At 38.8% G+C, this 15,829-nt stretch overlaps 2 long non-coding RNA genes across 8 annotated transcripts in view; one reads left to right on the forward strand and one right to left on the reverse strand.

Moving 5' to 3' along the window:
• The window catches only part of LOC105375716 (uncharacterized), a 436,284-nt gene that overhangs the window by 207,516 nt on the left and 212,939 nt on the right, over positions 1-15,829 (reverse strand). For 2 of the 7 annotated variants that reach the window (XR_928572.3, XR_928571.2), the window contains 3 exons: positions 14,804-14,878; positions 12,962-13,133; positions 11,901-12,024 (listed from right to left, as the gene is read on the reverse strand). The exons of the other annotated variants lie outside the window; for them this stretch is intronic. This is a non-coding gene — a long non-coding RNA (uncharacterized LOC105375716). Of the gene's footprint in view, positions 1-11,900; positions 12,025-12,961; positions 13,134-14,803; positions 14,879-15,829 lie in introns of those variants that run through there. 7 annotated transcript variants of the gene reach the window in all.
• Positions 1-15,829, forward strand: part of LOC105375717 (uncharacterized) — a 37,330-nt gene that overhangs the window by 18,199 nt on the left and 3,302 nt on the right. The window lies entirely within an intron of this gene.

Here is a 15,829-nt window from a genome sequence, read left to right on the forward strand (position 1 = left end):
TGATTCTGGATAGGATCCTTGGCTGGGGAAGAAAATAGCTATAATAGGTCTGTTGGCAGAAATGATCAAACTTGAATATTATAGTGGATGACGTAAATGGTGTTTTATTAATTCTGAATTTTCATATTTTAATAATTGCACTACAGTTATGTAAAAGAATATCCTTTTTTCTGAATTCTGCCAACAATGTGAGTTTGGAAGTGAATTTTTCCCCAGACCCTCCCAATAAGAACCTGGCCCATTCGACACTTTGATTTCAGTCCTGTTTGTTGTAAGCAGAGAACCTGGCTGAGCCTGTTCAGATTTCTGACCTACAGAACTCCCAGCTAATAAATGGGTGTTGCTTTAAGCCATTAAGGTTGCTATAATTAGTTCTGTGGCAAAATAAAGGAATACAATCCCTCACCTACCCATACACACTAAACACACACACACACACACACACACACACAAATGCATACATATGCATTGTCACACAAAAAAACCTACCAATAGGGATGAAATATATATCTAATAAAGTGTTGAAATCAAGATGTAGTTATGGATGAAAATCAAGCCAACAGATAAAAATCGCGGTGGTTAAAACATGGCTCCCTTCAAGACAGATTGTTTCGAATAACATTCAATTTGAGGTGAAATTTCTGTGGTGATAGAAGATAGCTCCCAGAAGGAGAGGAGCCAAGAGCACACATCTCTTCTTGATCCTAAACTCACAAAATAAGATGTCCTGAGAGCACTTACGATGACACATTCAAAGCTATGCTTGGAACCAGAGACTTTTAGAGAAGGCGAGAGACAGAAAGGAGATGAGTGTAGGAAGTTTGAATTCAAATGAGAGGCTAATTTAGGCTATGGTCAAATTAGATAAGTAAAAGAAATTTTGATTTATTCTGCATTCTCTTCCCAGGGGTTCAAAATGCTATCCTAGCTGTTACTGCATTTATCCTCACAATTACCCTGCAGTCATTCATTCCTTCTTAGAAACCTAATTTAAACCAATGTTGGCTGTCCCTTAATCACAGGATAAAATCCAAACCTCTTTCAGGTCAAGGAAATTTACACCAAAAGAATTTTACACCAACTTGCCTCTCTAGTCTCATATTCCTGCTGCTACCCACCTTCACTGTGTAGTTTCACACCATAGGACACGGCCTTCTTCAATGATTATTTTGATGATTAATACCTTTCTGCCTTTTTTGTGGATTACACCTTTTTTTTTTTTTTTTTTTTTTTTGAGATGGAGTCTCACTCTGTCATCCAGGCTAAAGTGCAGTGGTGCAATCTCGATTCACTGCAACCTCCGCCTCCCTGGTTCATGTGATTCTCATGCCTCAGCCTCCCGAGTGGCTGGGATTTCAGATGTTTCAGATGTGCACAACCACACCCAGCTAAATTTTGTATCTTTAGTAGAGATGGGGTTTAACCATGTTGACCAGGCTGGTCTCAAATTCCTGACCTCAGGTGATCTGCCTGCCTGGGCCTCCCAAAGTGTTGGGATTACAGGCATGAGCCACCACGCCCGGCCTATAACTCTTATAACTGAGTTATAATCTGCCCTTCCATATGTCCACAAAAATGCTCCTCTCCATATTAACACCCTGAGAAATCCAAATCCTCACTTATCCTTCATTGATGCAGGCAATAGAAGTTCAGATTTGCATCAGGTCTCCTGTAGAGAGATGGTTCCAAGTATGGAATGAGCTCCCCTTTTCTCCTAAATTATTATGCTATCCAGTCTAGATTAGATTGCTACTCACAGCAGGAAAGTGAAAACAAAAGCATTTAGAAAACTAATCTTAACATACTTTGAAGACTGGTAAAAAAAAATGAATAAATAAAGTAAGCAAACGCATCCAGTAAGAAGACAATATTGGGATAAAGACTTTGGATGGTAAGTTGAGTTTTGATCATTCAATCTTTCAGCACATTTCGAGTTGACGCTGAAATGTTAAAGATTCTTTCTAGCCTTATGTAATATGTTCTTCCATCTGGATGACTTACTATTTCTCAATTTTCTTTTTATAAACAGCTTTACTTAGATATAGTCCACATACCATACAATTCACTCATTTCGTGTGTACAATCCATTGGTTTTCAATATATGCATAGAGTTGTGCAGCCATCCCCACAACTTAATTACAGAATATTCTCAATTCCCTTTTGTGCTTATCCTACTCTTTACCTTTCATTCATTCACTCATTTATTCAACCACTTAGAACATATTTCTCCAGTCAATGTAAATTCGGGGGATACCATGATAAATACAAGATGGTCCTGCTCTCAATGAGATCCTGAGAGAGGCACACATTAAAGAAGCAATTACAATACAGGGTGATAAATCCTGTCCTGGGCAAAGTGCAGGGTGCTGTGCTAGGACATACATGGGGGTACCTGACCCACTGATGGTCAGAGAAGTGATTCTGGAAGGAAGCGAGGTCTATGCTGAGACAGAAGAGTGAGATGGAGATTTTCAGGTGACAGTGAAAATGGGAGCACAGATGAAGCGTTCAAAGGAGAGGGTTACAAACATAAAGAATGGCGTCCGCTAAGATCCAGAGTGAGACGGAAATGGATTCATGGAGCTAAAAAGAATCCAGCCTTTTCTTCCTGTCAAAATCCAAGCCATCATTATTTTTAGATACGAATGTTCATAGCAGCTTTATTGGGTAATATTCAAAAACTGAAAACAACTCAAGTGCCTGTCATCAGGCAAATGAATGAACTGTTGTACATCATACAGTGGAATAATACCCAGCAATGAAAAGGAATGAACTATTGGTGCATGCAAGAACATGGAGTGAATAAAACCTGATGAAAAAGAGTAAACACTGCACAATTCCATCTGTATAAAATTCTAGAAAACACAAGCTAATCCATAGTGACAGAAGGCAGGTCAGTGCTTGCTGGTGGGTAGTAGGGACAGATTATGAAGAGGCAAGAAGAAACTTTCAGGAGTGATAGAGATGTTCATTATCTTGATTGTGGTGATGGCTTCATTGGTGAATACATACATTAACAAGTATCAAATTGCATATACTAAACATATATAGTTTATTGTATGTCAATATACCCCATCAAGTTGTTTTTAAAAAGGCATCCCTGTTTCGACAACCAGTTCTGTGATCTCCCTGTTAATAAAAGATCTGGCACCTAGTGAGGGCTCAGTGAGTGTTGGGCACTAGTGTTGGTGTCAGTGTTAAAATATGACTATTAGTATGATCCTATTTGCCATGGTCAGAAAGGCCCAGGAAAGAAATGAGGTCTAATCTGCAGATTGGCCCAGACAGTAGACCTGGGAGTGGAAACTGGGAAGGCCGGGCAGTCCAGAGCTGAGACCTAGAGTTGGGGGATGGGAAGAACTAGGGGGTTAAACTCCCTCTGCCACTTACTAGCCCAACTCAAATGTTGCCTCCCCTCAGAAGCCTTACCTGATTCCGATTTATTTATTTATTTATTTATTTATTTATTTGAGATGGAGTCTTGCTGTGTTGCCCAGGCTCTAGTGCAGTGGCATAATCTCAGGTTGCTGCAACCTCTGCCTCTCGGGTTCAAGCAATTCTCCTGCCTCAGCCTCCCGAGTCGCTGGGATTACAGGTGCCCAGCACCATGCCCAGCTAATTTTTGTATTTTTAGTAGAGATGGGGTTTCACCATGTTGGCCAGGCTTGTCTTGAGCTCCTGACCTCAGGTGATCTACCTGCCTCAGCCTCCCAAAGTGCTGGGATTACAGGCATGAGCCACTGCGCCCGGCCCTGCTTCAGATTTAGTTACGTCCTCTTCTGTGTTTCCTTAGCCTTTTGGGGACATCTCAATACACTATTTTCCTTCTCACAAAATACATCTTTAAATCAAATAGTAATTTTAAACCAAACTTTGAGTAGTCCACACAGACTGTAAGATAAAGTTAGGAAACAATAAAGTAAGATGAAAAAAATAATAATAACCACTATGAAACGTGAAATGGCATGCAGTCATGGGAATGACTGAAATCATGAAAAATATCTTTAATTCCCCTGTTTATCGGAAAACTATTTAATTCTTTGTTATTTTATTGCCCCCAAAAGCCCACTTGTTATAACCTGCAGTTATAAATATTACAGAAACATCCAATTAAAAAAATCAAAAGGCTCCTTTTTCCTATATCCCCAGAGAGTGAGGGTGAATTGCTATTCACACATCCAGTTGTCTCAATCCTTAACAAGAAGATTGATCACATTCAGAAGAAAACAGAAATAATCTGGAAAATGGAGGGCTCAAATACTTTATAAATAAGAAAATAAATGACTGTTTCTTATGATGAATAATTTAAGTAAATGTCACATTGCAGTAATTGCAAATAACATATAACACCTTTGAGTTAATGACAGTGGAATTAGGAAAGCTTTTTCTAATCACTGTCATCTTTTAAAAGCTCAATAAAAATATGTAAGATAACTTCATCATTTTCCAATCCTGGAATCAAGCTCTTTAATATTTTTGCACAGAACTTACAAATTTATAAGTGAACCATCACACTTAGAAATGGGATGCTTTTTTCTAGGAGATATTCCATACCAACTCATTGAATTGATTTGTCCATCTCAACGGTTCTTAAAAATTGTTAGAGTTACAAAACTTTAAAGTAGAGAAGAAATCATATATATTATTTATCCCAAACTTTCTATTTTACAGATAAGGAGATTAGGTCCTAGAGAGAAAATGTTCTGATCAAATTCACACGGCAATTAGTCGCAATTCTTAGTCTACAATTCTAGGTTCCTACTACCCAGGTTCAGTGACTCTTCTCAACAAGATACCTCTTTCGCAGAACAGGTTCCTCAACCTGGAACAAGAATTAAATTTTTTCCACAAGGCCTTGTTTGATTGGGAAATTGATTTAAATGCAGCTAGACACCTACTCAAGCTTTTTGTTTTGAGCCTATTCTAGTTACTGTTGCTCCACAATGTAGTGATAGAAGATACCTATCATTCTATTTTGCTCACCATTTGGCCAGTCAAGAATTACAGAAGGGTTTATCTGAGTAGATGGTACTGAGAGTCTGTCATGCAGTTGCAGTCAAATACAGGCTGGCACTGCAGTCATCCGAAGGCTGTAGCAGGTAGGACATCAGAAGGGCTCACTCACATGGGTGGTAGTTGGTGCTGGATTTTACATGCTGGAAGCTAAGCTGGATTTGCTGACTGGAGAGCCTATACAGGGCCTGTGCAGCATGGTGGTCTCAGGGGCTCTCACATGGTGTCTGGCTTCCCCCAGAGTGAGTGTCCTGAGAAATCCAACCAGAAGCTGCCAGGCCTTTCCAGAGGTAGTCTCTAAAGTTATGCAGCTGCATTCCACTCTTTACAAGAAAGTTACTAAGGCAGGCTTAGATATTAGTAAAAGAGAGGAGACAGAACTCACCTCTCCGTGTGCAAAGTTTCAAATAATTCATAGACATGTTTTAAAACTGCCACATGGCCACAGAGGGAGAAATCTCAGGTAAGCTAGAAGATATGACATAAATGTAGAATAATTGATCAGTCACTCACACTCATCAAAGAAACTTTGGAAAATAGAATATATATTCCTCTCTTTGTTTATCTCCCTAACACCCTACAATAGAAAAATGTAACTAAGAGTTTTCAATCTCAGATTTGCCCAGCTTCCAAGACAATGAAATTGATATTCAAGATAAAGTTCCAGGAAGATGACCTAGAAGGCAAAATAATAATCTTCAAAGTCAGGATCTTGAGTTGCAAATCAAGTATTTAATATTAGAGTTAATGAAGGACCAAAGAGACCTTTTATTGTTCCCCCAATGAGCATGTGGAATTAAATTTTATTGAACTCCTTAGAGAGTTGTGACCCTGTCTTTTAAACTTGATTTGTATGGCTTTCCATAGATCCCAATGCAGAGATTAGTGCTTCACAAATTTCAAATGACAGATGATGATTTAATTGGAACAGAGTAGTCCATAAATGTCTTATGAATATAAAAACATCACGGAGACTGTGATATAGACTGTTCTGTGATTCCAAGAGTTGGGATGAATGGGACTATTTTTAAGCATCCGAGATTTTAGAAAATAAGAAATTGGAACAATTTCCAATGACACTGATAAGGGCCACAAGTACCTCTTAGCATTTAAAATTACTTCAAGAAAGAGACACAGAGATTCAGAGAAACAAGCAAATATTTACTAGAGAACCATTAGGATGTTGAATTGAAAATCCTTTTCATCTCTTATTTCTTAACCTTTTCAGAAAGTAGTAATATTTATAGGTAAGTTGGAAAATATAATGTGTGTGTACACTATAAGAATGGTATGAATTCTCATACCGTGAGGAGTGGGACAATTTGAAGAAGTTGTAAAGCTATTTCTCTTCTTTAAATTTTACTGTTGCCAATAAAGATATAAAATTCCAGGTTTCCAAAAGGTTGATGGAAATTATTGTAAACATAAATTATTTAAATCAGGGCTTATGGATTATATGGCCCAAATCCAAAAGAAATTAAAAATGAATTTTGTATTATTTTTTGTAATTTTGTAGTATGGCTTTTTCTTTTGCTGATCCCATGTGGGTTCTCTGACATAGCTCCATTCTGGACTGGGATTGAAAAGCCAAGCTGGCCTCATTCACCTATCTGGTACCTCAGTGTGGGCTCCGGATTGAGGCTCCTTTTTTCTCCTGTATTTGATCTCAGTAGTAGACAGAAAAATGATTCCCAAAAGATGTGCATGTTCTAAATCTTCAAAATTTGTGAATACGAATATGTGATGTCACACGACAAATGAAACGTTGCAGATGGGGAGTAAGTTAAGGATCTTGAAATGGGGAGATTATCCTGAATTATCGAGGTGGGCCCAATCTAATCATAAAGAACCTTCTAAGAAGGAGGCAGAAGAATCTGGGTCAGAGGAGATGTGATAACAAAAAGCATGGTTGGAGCCATGTGAGGAAGGGACCACCAGAAAGAATCCCAGCGGTGGCTAGAAGCTGGAAAAGGCATCAAGGTGAATTCTCCCCTGGAGCCTCCAGAAGGAATGCCATCTTGCTGACTGATATAGTTTGGATATTTGTCCCCACCCGAATTTCATGTTGAATTGTAATCCCCAGTGCTGAAGGTAGAACCTGGTGGGAGGTGTCTGGATCACAAGGACGGATCCCTCATGGCTTGGTGCTGTCTTCACAATAGTGAGTTCTTGCCAGATCTAGCCATTTAAAGTAAATAGCACCTCCCACCTCAACTCTCACTCCCTCCCTCCTCCTTTCACTATGTGATGCACCTACTCTCCCTTTGCCTTCCACCACGATTGTAAGCTTCCTGAGGTCTCACTAGAAGCTGAGCAGATGCCAACACCATGCTTCCTGGAATGCCTGCAGAACCATGAGACAATTAAACCTCTTTTCTTTATAAATTACCCAGTCTCAGGTATTTCTTCACAACAATGCTAGAACAGCCTAATACACTGACCCATTTTAGGCTTCTGACCTTGAGAACTATGGGAAAATAAGTGTGTGGCATTTTAAGTCACTGAGTTCACAATAATTTGTTATAGCAGCAATAGGGAACCAGTTCAGCCCCTCATATACTTCAATAGAATAGAACAGGTCTCAAGTAATGTTCCCACAGAGCCAGCCCCTTTGCACACACATGCTTTTCAAGCTTCTGTGTCACAGGTGCAGAGGTCCCATTTGCTGACACAAGTTACGTGGCTGGCAGAGTCCATGTGAGAGGGGCTTTGTTTGACTACACCTTTGGATAGGAAAAGTCACAAAATCTCATTGCTTGATTTGGGATGGGAGAAATTTGTGGCCATTTATAAATTTGTTACAGGGGTTGTAATATGCTTTATGTGGCTTGTGTTTTGAAAACCGTAACCCCTTGAATCAATGCCTTAGCCTGATGCTCACAGTTGAGATAATCTATCAAATATTCTATAATGCCTAACCCAGTCACCACCCTGTCTTGCCTGAAGTTCTGGTTGATTATGACTTTTCCTTCTCTCCTTCTACCTGTCTTCTGCCCTCTGCTCCCAACTGCTGTCTCCTTCCCATTCTTTTCCATTTTAGCCCCACTTCCAAATGAACTTCTCAGACTGCTGAGCCATCAGAAAAGTGTTTTATTGAGCCTACAGTGTTTTCAAGCCCTTCTTTTTTGTGAAGAAAGTTACTTCACATGCACTTTTATGTGGCACACAGTTTCTGTGACTCAATCCTGAGGTATTCATTTGCAAAAAATACAATGCCAACTGCCAAGGCCAAATAGCAAATGTTATTAGGCATTTTTTTTGTGTGTATTTCAACTTGAAGGATGGCACTTGTTCCAGGTATTTTAAAAGGCAGAAAGAAAATTCCTTCAATGTTCTTCAAATTTGCATTTTGCTTCATCTTTTAACTGAGAAATAAAATACATTAGAATTCTCACATCATTAACAGAAGTGTGTGGGTAAACTTAGAATTTGCATTTAAATACATTCAAAAGCAGACTTCTGCAGAAATTGCAAGTAGATCAGGGGAAGATGCCAGTGAGAAGAGAAAATGAATAGTACTTTTTTGCCAAAAAAAAAATCATCAAAATTGAATTTGTATATGTTTCGATTGTCACATTTGTTTACTTTTAAAGTTTGTATTGGTCCAAACATAAGACTGTGAATTTCTTGAATAATTTGCTTCTGTGATCAGTCTTCTGCATTGGTTATATATTTTACAAATTAGCTTATTTGGCTAACTGATAAAACTTCATGTGGGTTCATCAAAGTCAAAAAAAAAAAAAATAGTCACTTTGAGGCAATGTTTATGGCCAGGCCAGACTGACCAATAAGAAACTCTAGGAGGGCGTGATCTTGGAATGAATTACATAACCAGGGACCGAATCCTCTGACTTAACAGTTTCAGAAACTGGATTTTAGTTGTTTCCAGTGACCCCAAACTTCTTACCGGCTGTCTTCTTTCCTGGTCTTGGTGAACTTAGCAGCTGAATTAAAAGGCTCCATTGAGCATAGAATTTGAGCAAAGAAAAATAGATTCTCAAGGGTCCTGATGCCACAATGAAGCCTGATCAAATATGTCTGCCCCTCAACAGCATTCACCTGCCTACAGACCTGAATATCAGAGCCTCCCAGATTCAGGAATGCCGTGGCCCCTAACCTAGGTTGCTTCTCTGATCCTTGTGTTTCCAGACATTCATCTCAACTTTTCCATGTCTTCTTTAAATATGCCAATATTATTGATTAAGCCATGGTGTAGTGAAAGGTTAACAAATGTATGCCATGTGTCACCCCCTGTCTTCCTAAGCAATTGTTCATTTGAAAAACAATTCCTCTTTCCCACTAAGTCCTGCTCAGCATGGCACTCCAGGCAGCCACTTCAAATCAATTCGAATTGATAAATGAGATGAAGCCTAGTACATTTGCCACCTCTGGTGCAGAGGCTCTTTCTAAGGACCTGGGAGACTACCTATCTCTTCTCATTAGGTGTTTATTTCATTTGACCATGAATGACTGAATTCTAGCTCTGTAATGATGACTGAGGCAATGGATTCACATCCTTGTGTTTGTTTTTCTCTGTCTCATGAGCATTATTACATATTTCCTCCACAAATGTGTGATCATGAGCAAAAAACCTCTTGGTGGATTAACACAGGTTCATATTCATTATGGGAATATAGTATGTGTGTATTTTCTTGTCTAAGATCTGTTGTCCTCACTAGATCTTAAGCATCATGAGAAGAGGGACTGTGCCTGTTTTGTTAACTCTGTTATCAGCAGTGCCTAATGTACTGCCACCACACAGGACCTCAGCAAATGTTTACTAAGGACATACAAACAGCAGGTCATTGCTGTATGTATATTTAATGTAAGGTTTCCTAGCTATTAGGGATACTCTCAGTAATATATCCAATTCTCACATTATAGAATCCAGTTACTCTACTATTTTTTCAGCTCTACTTGCTTGCAATATTATGAGAATGTCTCCAGAAGGAGAGGATTTTAGATGAAACTCAACCTAATTATTTTTTCTCTCTCTTTTTTTTAATTTTCATAATACCAATGGTAGGAGATTCCGAAACTATGTGTCAAAAGTACCTTTAGAAATTATAAAAATTATAGTTGTATTTCATTTTACTCGACAAATATTTTCAAACAGCTTTTTGTGGAGGTATCAATGTTATGGTTGTTGAACTGACCCCAAGCAAATTTTTGTCCAGGTGAAGTGATGAGGTTTATATAAAAATGACTTTTAAAAATAATATCATATGTAGTCAAAATTCAAAATATATAATAGAAGCAAAAATCAGTCAACAGAAATCATCTATTAAGAAGAAAACAATGTTCTTTAAGCCCCCTGAAGATTGGAAAACAGTAACTTTTTGGCATCCTGTTGTGGTATGCAGACCTGGCATATTACCTTATGAAAAGTAAATGATCCATGAATGTTGTTTGAATGAATGAATTGAATTAATGAATATTCATTAAATAACCATAGTTTCATGCTATTTACATTCTAACAAAGCATACTGCACATTATCAGGGTTTAGAATTAACTTTCTGCCTAGTATTATACACAGTTAATGGCAAAATAATCTCTGCAGTCTCCCCAGATGAAGGCCAAGAGGTTATTCTTGAGAATATAGTTAATCCTCACTTAAGGTCGTCACTAGATTCTGGGAAACCGTGACTTGAAGTGACATAATGCATAACGGAACAATTCCTTTTCCTCATCAACATTTTAACAAACTATGTTGAACAAAAGGATGTTATTAGAGGACCTGCTGTACATTGTGTCACTCGAAGTTGCAGTTTCCAAGAACCTATCAACGACTTCACGTGAGGAGTTCCTGTATTGCTATCTTACCCCACATATATAATTAAATCTCCAAGTATCCTTTCTATTCGCCTAATAACCCTTTCCCATTGACCGGCTTCTGTCTATCCCCTGGCTGCTCTTTAGTTGTGGCTATCAGAAATGCTGAGCTTAACTTGCTCCCCTCTTGGCTCCCTCTAACCTGTTCTCTAATTGCCACCAGAATGACCTGTCTAAAGAGCAAATGTGACCAGGACATTGTACATTGGCTTTCTTGGCTCCCCACGGATATGGTAAATTTAGGCTAATGCAAGACGCTTTTTAATCTGGTACTTGCTCTCCTTCCCTGCTCCTCCATTGTCATCATTGTCTATATTTCAGCTAGACAACTTCTTAAGTCCCCAAGTGACAGCACTGTCTCTCATTTTAGTTGGGTTATATTCTTCTCATCTCTAGGTTGGACTCTTGGTTAGAATTTTCCTTTCCTGACTATTTGCCTGGCTCACTCTTAGTTGTCCTTGAGATGTCCTTGTGGTCTTTACCCCCATGAGAAAGTTTATCTGTGATGCTAAAGAGTCCTGTAACCTAATTGTAGCAATGATCACCTGTCTTAATTGCCTACCTGCCTGTGTCTCTCATACCTCAATTGTAAGCTTCTTGCAGGGCCTATGTTTCATTTATGGTTGTATCCCTAGCACCTATTTCACGGTAGGAGCTAGTGAGTAAGTAAGGCAAGTATATTAAGATATATACTGAAGGCTGGGCGCGGTGGCTCATGCCTGTACTCCCAACACTTTGGGAGGCAGACGCAGGCGGATCACAAGGTCAGGAGATCGAGACCATCCTGGCCAACATGGTGAAACCCCGTCTCTACTAAAAATACAAAAACTTAGCCAAGTGCAGTGGTGCGTGCCTGTAATCCCAGCTACTTGGGAGGCTGAGGCAGGAGAATCGCTTGAACCCTGGAGGTGGAGGTTGCAGTGATCCGAGATCATGCCACTTGTACTCCAGCCTGGGCGACAAAGCGAGACTCAGTCAAAAAAAAAAAAAAAAAAAAAAAAAAAAAGATACACACTGAAGGGAAGAGAAAATGAATGAGCAAATAACAATCGTGGCAGAGAACAGGATTTATTCATTACAAGTAGCCTTGACCTCTTGTATCATTCCCAGTAGAAGCCGAGACTCCCAAACCCAGGCATATTTAGGACCTTCTTCAAACAATTGCCAGTACCATGGTGCTGGGGAAAAACAAAACAAAACAAACAAACAAAACAAAACCTTTCAGACACCTTAAACTAAAGCTGCTCTGTCATCTTGCAGACCCACCCTGGAGTCCAACAGGACAATTTTCAAAGCCACCCATCCTGGCAAAGTGCTTGACAAGCTGCAGGAGAACAGCATTCAGGATTGCAATTAGAGTTGGAAGAGAGGAGGAGGAGACAGGGGTCACTGGGCCAATCAATACTCAGCTACCCTCTCCCCCCACCCCCTCACCGCCGGTGTTCAGAGAAATGCCAAAGCTTGCCGCTTAATCGCGGTTCCCATTTTAGGTAGTGCACTCCTGCCATCTAGTGGTTCCCCCACGCTCTCCACAATGCCTTCAGCAGAGATGGATTTCATGTGCTGAAAACCCAGCAAAGGCAGAACCAAACCAAAAAGCCAGACTTAAAAGAGTGCCCTAAAAGAGTGCCCAAGTGCAATCAAAATCCACCTAGAGAACCACAATAGCATTTGGGTTCCTTTGTGACTGTTGAGAAGTGATTATCTTAGCTGGTGCGGAATGCCATAGAAGGTCCAAGTCTTGAATCATGGTGTCAGTCAAACTGGTAATCAGATTTGAAAACTGGTTTTTATTTCACTAGGAAATAGGAAATGATTTTAGTTTATCATGGATTGAATGTGTCTTTTTGCCCCTTCTTCTCCTAAATGATTCTAAATGTGTTGTGAATTGCCTAGAAATTATTCTTACCCAACAGTGAACTAGAGAATTACAAAACTGAAGAAAAAAAAAAAGCTAAGCTAAGAATGTCTCTGCTACTCTCAGCATAGAAGTGCCAAAAAAGCCAAAGATGACACAGCTGAGATTTAACAAGAAAAACATTTCAGGCAGCAGGACTGACAATGGATGAAAATGTCCCTGATTTCAGAGTCCCTGAGGGAAGCTGGCACTCTTACTGTTTTTTTCATGGTGCTCCTTAGGTAATTCATTGAAACATTAATAGTCTGTGTTGGCCCTGGGGCCATGAACTGGGACCCATCCAGTTGCACAGGAGCACATCAACCTGCAGAAGATACAGACCTCTGCTGCACATACTCTATGGCTGAGAAAACTGGTCTTGAAATAATTCTGAAAACAGAAAAGAGAAGTAGTCAGCCTGGCCCCAGAGAAACAATAGCCTTCACCACCAGTTTTACAGAAACAGAATTTCTCGGGCAGAAAATATATTCTTATGCATATATATATATATATATATATAAACATATTATATTAACTTATAATGTAAGTTTAATATGTATATAATATATTTAACATATACATATATACTTAATATATACATATTATATACTTTAAATAAACATATTAAACTTACATGCCTCAACAAAATAACCAATAGCCAGAGGAAGTGATGGGGGCCACGATAAAATATTGAGAGGTCTTGCATGTGATTTACAATTTTTTTTCCTCTTTCTAAATACTCCAAATATATATAATCACAGCTTCTGATACTGTAATATGATCATTAGCTGAAACTTGGAACAACTAATATTTACAAACCCCACTTAGGAATTTCACAAGATTCCTATTTTCTTCTGCATTCTATGCCAAGACAGGTTTGCTGTTTATTTAGATAAACATGTAATATGTAAGGGATGAGACCCTGTCTATTTTTTAACTCAATTTTCCAGTTGGGTTAAAAAATAGGTTTCTGGAGGAAGAAAAATCAGTTAATCTAAATATTTGAAGTCATATAAGTACAATCAATTAACTTGCACATTAAAAAAATTTCCATCAGCTGTTTTACCACGGTGACACAGCCTTATGTCATAAAGAACTACCTTTAGGTTAGCTACTACCTGAGAATGTAACTACATTTAGTATATAAAACAAAGACATATGATTGTTAGACAAATGATCTGCTTTATCTTTGTGGACAAAAAAGATGATTAATGATACTCAGGTTTAAAAAACATTCATGTTCAAAAAATATCTTCTTGGAGAAAGTTTCATTTTTATAAAGTTATAAATGTATACAAAAATATAAGCCAACCAGTCATTTTAGGGGGCAATAGTCCTTAAACAGCCTTACTCCAAAAGACCTTTAGGAGTGGTACTGCTTGCCACTAAGGAAGAATGACAGAAGGAAATTTGGTAAGAATATAAAGATTGGGTTAAGATTTTTAGGGAAATAGAAAAATAATAAAAATGTTGCCTAAATAACAAACTTCCTGGATGACAAAGCTTTAGGCTCCTTGGTTAATTCTGCAATAGCATGTAATTGACAAGGGGTTTAAAATACAGTTTTATTAAAATGGCATTCTCAACTAGCAGGCTGTCAGGCATGATGTCTGAAGGCTTTTGCTGTGATGAGAGTGGTCTTCAAAGAGTCAGCAGTATTCCTCTGGTGGGACTGGCCACTCTATCACTCCCCCATGACATCCTTGTTGTCTGCATAAGGTGCCCAGCCTCCCAGGTCACACATAGTTAACAGTGGTCAACCTAGTCAGACTGATTTAGGTTTGAATAATACCAATTCCAATACCTATTAGCTGTTTATCCTTGGGCAAATTACTGATGTTCTCTGAGTCTGTTTTTCTTATTTGCCAAATGAAGATAACAATCATTAAGTTAAAATGCAGTTTTCACAAGTCAAAATCTATCCAATAACAACAATTTTATTGCTTCCACAATAAAGTCACAACTTTCAAGACCTAGGAAGCAGTGGAAAAAGTAGAACTTGACCTAGACCTACATGCTCATTTCTAACTAGCTGATGGACAGATTGTGAAAAAACTTACTCAGGCAAGAAGGTCCCAGAAAGACAGGCCCACACCAATTTATCTGTCAGGATCTTTGTCGGCTGTGTCAAAGGGCTATGTAAGAACAGAAATACATGAATTTTTCAGTGCCCTGCACTGGAAGGGTGAAAAATCACTTTAGGGAATCTACAGAAGCAAGATTTGCTTAGAGAACATGTTACAGTGGTTAGCGTGCTGGACTTGACATAGGTGAGAACCACTTCTCTGCGATGAAATAGCTATGTGAACTTGACATCAGTCTCACCTCTTCGATTTTTTGCTTTCTCATTTATATGATGGAAATACTAATTGGAGCCCTAAGTGCCACAGAGGTGATAACTATCATTCATTCTGCACTTGTTATATGCTAGGCACTTTACACTAATTATCGGATTAACTCCCCACAACAACCATATGAGGAAGGTACTGTTATTGAAATTCCCAGTTCAGAATGAGGACACTGGGGCTTAAAAACAGTAAGTACACGATCACACAGAAATTAAAAGGTGGAACTGGGATCCAAACCCCAGCAGTTTAATTCTAGAGCTTTCTTGCCTATGAACATGCTATACTGCTTTTAATCAGAAGGCCTAAATTGTAGTCCAGGTTCTATTATTCATTTGCTTCACTGGACTTTGATTTCCTCTTAAGCTAAATGAGGGGATTGTACTTGAATCAGGTTCTAAATGGATTATGTCAAATATCCACCCTCGTCATTTCTGATAGAAGTTTCTAGGAGCATAGCATTCAGAAAGATTGTAAAAGCTGTCTTGGTTCAGTGGGAAATAATGCTGTGATTAACTAGTGATGTCTGCCAAGGGCATGGCACCGGAGAGGCATGGAGGCACTTGTAACATGTTTTGCATCCCTGGGAGAAATAAGGACGCTTCTGGCTGTTATATTTTATTATTCTGTTTATGCATTTTCTCTTAGTAGCTACCAAGAGGGCAACCAATGGTAGTCTGGCCAGGCAAGGGCTACATTGTAGGACAGGGATGTCTAATAGAATTTTCTACCAGGATGGAA

The sequence above is a fragment of the Homo sapiens genome, chromosome 8 (genome assembly GCF_000001405.40).
Source record: "Homo sapiens chromosome 8, GRCh38.p14 Primary Assembly".
Lineage (NCBI taxonomy): Eukaryota > Metazoa > Chordata > Mammalia > Primates > Hominidae > Homo > Homo sapiens.